The 3,968-nt window shown below is 36.1% G+C and overlaps 1 annotated feature.

The window, feature by feature from the left end:
• Positions 2,247 to 2,909: an enhancer, noted in NCBI's record as "OCT4-NANOG hESC enhancer chr2:104408414-104409076 (GRCh37/hg19 assembly coordinates)". NCBI's record gives its function as "activates a minimal SCP1, AML or CMV promoter by ChIP-STARR-seq in naive H9 embryonic stem cells {active_cell/tissue: H9 hESC(naive)}" and the evidence as "EXISTENCE:reporter gene assay evidence [ECO:0000049][PMID:30033119]".

Genomic DNA, 3,968 nt, shown 5'->3' on the forward strand with positions numbered 1-3,968 from the left:
GGCCCAAGACAGAAAGAGAGGTTAGGCTCAAAGGAGAACCGACAGCCTATTTGCAAGAACCTCTTGTACAAGTAATACACCTTTTGGGCATTCATTCCAAAGTTCCAGCCAAAGGAAATATGAATTACAAATTTCAGTCTGGGAGGCACAGAACACAGACCTGCCGGATGCAACAACAAATGGTACTTTTCAGGTCTTCCTATTAGACAGACAGTTATGTCATGGATATTTAGAAGTGAAGCAATTTTTCTTTGGATGTCAGCCAATACAGGATCATTAAACAGAGCTTTTTGGATTCTCAAGTCTAATATGTCTATAGAGAGGGAGAGAAAAAAAAGTTTTCAGTTAGTAACCAACTATAGCTTTGCCATATTACTCTTTTAATTCTTCAGCCTTTAATTCCCTTGATAAATTCCAACTGACACAAATATTTTGATGAAACTTGTAGAATGTCCTCAAATATTGTTTAATTTTCTACAAATTTCAATTTGTCCCAATGATCTACAGAATAATTTTCTTATAAAACCTAAAAAGATAACTTGTAAATAATGTAGGCAATGTATCAAAGCAGGAAGTAGAGGACTTTAGTTAGCTTTTGTGAATCAATAGAAATTAATACAACCATATCAGTGTGTAATGCAATCAGGTTACAGCACTGCTACTTACACATCAGATTGAAATTGATATTGAATTAGCATTAGAAAATGCTTCAATCTCTGTCTTCATCAGAACTTTTAAAAATTTTATCTCACCTTATAGACAATATTGTTGATTTTGGTTTTTAATTAAGTTTTCCGAGAAGGCAAACATTTTATGTGTGGTAATTTAAAAACACCTAAACAATGATTTCTAAAGAAAATGAATAAATATTCTGTATACATTTGGAAAGCAAGTTTCTGCTCCTTGTACAATATTACATATTGCATGGTTAAATTTACATTGAAAATAAAATGATAAAATATTATTAACTAAAAGAATAAAATAAATAAGTAACCTGAGATGCCCGATAATATTAGTTCCTTTAGAGTGCTTTTGTTTTCTCTTAAAATATTTAATTTTATAGAACCTAATGATATCCGAGGAGTCAAAATCTAACATCCATATGCAATTCCAGCATATGTAGGCAAATCTTTTCTAAAATAGTTGAGTTATTGCATTATCTGTTGTTAAAGTGGATTTATTCTACTCTGCTACTTTCAAGAAGATGACCATCTACATCATTTTATGGTTTCAAAACAAATGTTCACTATTTTTTTCGATTTTATTGGATGAGGGAAGGGAAGATAGTTTTCTAATGACAATGATATCTAAGATGTCGAGGATACAAGTTTTAGAATGTAGATTTTTCGCCCTAGTTAAGAAGGCTTTATCCAAAAGAAAGGCAGTAACAAATACTGACAAAGATATGGAGAAAAGGGAACGCTTCTACACTATTGGTGAGAGTGTAAATTAGTACAACCACTATTGAAAACAGTTGGGAGGTTTCTCAAAAAACTAAAAATAGAGCTACCACATGATCTAGTAATCTTACTACTAAATATATACCCCCAAAGAAAGGAAATCAGTATATCGAAGAGATATCTGCACTCCCATGTTTATTGCAGCACCATTCACAATACCCAAAAGTTGAAAGCAACCTAAATATCCATCAATAGATGAATGGGTAAAGAGAATGTGGTACATATACACAATGGAGTACTATTCAGCCATAGAAAGAATGAGATCCTGTCATTTGTAACAACATGGATGGAACTGGGCATCATTATGTTAAGTGAAATAAGCCAGGCACAGAAATGTAAACTTCACATGTTCTCACTTATTTGCAATTGAACTAATGGAGATAGACAATAGAAGGATGGTTACCAGAGACTAGGAAGGGTAGTGGCAGGGGGTGGAAAGAGGGGATGGTTAATGAATACAAAAATATAATTAGATGGAATTAATAGCATCTAGTATTTGATAGCACTACAGGGTGACTACAGTTAACAGTAATTTATTGTGTATTTTTAAATAACTAAAAGAGTATAATTGGGTTGTTCGTAACACAAAGAAAAGATAAATACTGGAGGTGATTAATACCCCATTTACTCAAATATAATTTTTTGGCATTGTATGCCTATATCCAAATACTTTATGTACCCCATAAATATATACACCAACTATGTATCCCCAAACATTAAAAATGGAAAAAAATATAGATTTTATAATTATTGAGGTATAACGAGACCAACAGATCAGGAGGTGATTGCCACTGAAAAGCTAGTTTATTACTCACAGCTTGCAGGAGGAGGGGGCACATCATATATGTCCACTGGGAGAATCACCAGGATCCTTCAGGGGTCGGGAGTTGCAAGGAGGGCAAAACACAAGCAAGAGCCTTTGTTGCAGTTTCTCTGGAAAGGAATAGAGGAGGCAAGGAAAGCAGGCTAAGGATTAGCTAGTTGAATAATTTCAGCAGGCTCTGGTTAACAGAGGTGTCCCTAATTGTCAAGTACCTAGCCCTGGGGTGGTTAGGGCAGAGGAATAGAGCCCCAGAGCGGGAGAGCCCCGTAGAAGAGGTGGTTGGGGATATGGACTCTGAATTTGTCGGTTTGCATTTGAAAGGCACACTCACAGGGGTGTAATTTACTGTCTCTAGAAATTGACTAGCCCTGGGAGGGACCATCTCTCCAGGATCTGCAAGTCTCCTGTTTCAAAAGCATCAGAAATACAGAAACTAAAAGAACGTGATTAATACAATGGACTTTTTCATTTTGTTTTAAGGAAGTGTGGCAATCAAAATCTTTTTCAGTTTGCCCAGTATGTACTCATTTTCTTTAATGCATGTCCATTTTCTGTTGATTGAGCGATAAGTGTAAAAATTGTTTAACATCTGCTTATGTAATGAAGTCACCCTTCATTGGAATATCTTTTCTTTGGAGTTAACCAGACCCCAAATCAAATCCCACCTTTGCCCATTTTTGTTTGGGTAATTATGCATAAATTGCTTGTCCAAGCCACACTTTCTTCATTTGTTAAAAAAAAAAAAAATACTTTATCTCTTGATTTGAGGATAAAATGTGAAAATGCCTGTATAGTGCCCAGAGCTCAGAAAGTGCTCAATGAAAATTCTTACTCTAATTATTCTTTATAAATTGCTAAATTGAAGCCACTAAGATTCTAAGTAGCCAATAAGATTGCTTTTAGCTTATTCATATCTGTTCCTTTATATTTCCCTAGAGTTGCACTAACCATTTTATAGGAAAACCTTACTATATCAGATATTAACGGGCCCAGTTAACGACAGGCACACCTTAACTGCTAGAAACCACCTTTACCATTGGATGGTGGACCTCTATAGAAAACAGGGGCCAACATCACTGATTATTAGAGAAATGTAAATCAGAACTGCTGTGAGATACCATCTCATGCCCATCAGAATGGTGATTATTAAAAAGTCAAGAAACAGCAGATGCTGCTGAGGCTGTGGAGAAATAGGAATGCTTTCATACTGTTGGTGGGTGTATTAGTCTGTCTGTTTTCACACTGTAGATAAAGACATACCTGAGACTGGGTAATTTATAAAGAAAAAGAGGTTTAATGGACTCACAGTGCCACATGGTTGGGGAGGCCTCACAATCATGGCAGAAGGTGAAAGACCTGTCTTACATGGCGGCAGGCAAAAGGGCTTATACAGAGGAACTCCCATTTATAAAACCATCAGATCTCATGAGACTTATTCACCACCATGAGAACGGTATGGGGTAAATCACCACCACGATCCTATTGTCTCCTACTGGGTCCCTCCCATGACATGTGGGAATTATGGAAGCTACAATTCAAGATGATATTTGGGTGGCAACATAGCCATACCATATCATTCTGCCCCCAGCCCCTCCCAAATCTCAAGTCCTCACATATCATAACCAGTTATGCCTTCCTAGCAGTTCCTCGAAGTCTTAACTAATTTCAGCATTAACTCAAAAGTC

Source organism: Homo sapiens, chromosome 2, assembly GCF_000001405.40.
Source record: "Homo sapiens chromosome 2, GRCh38.p14 Primary Assembly".
NCBI classification, from domain to species: domain Eukaryota; kingdom Metazoa; phylum Chordata; class Mammalia; order Primates; family Hominidae; genus Homo; species Homo sapiens.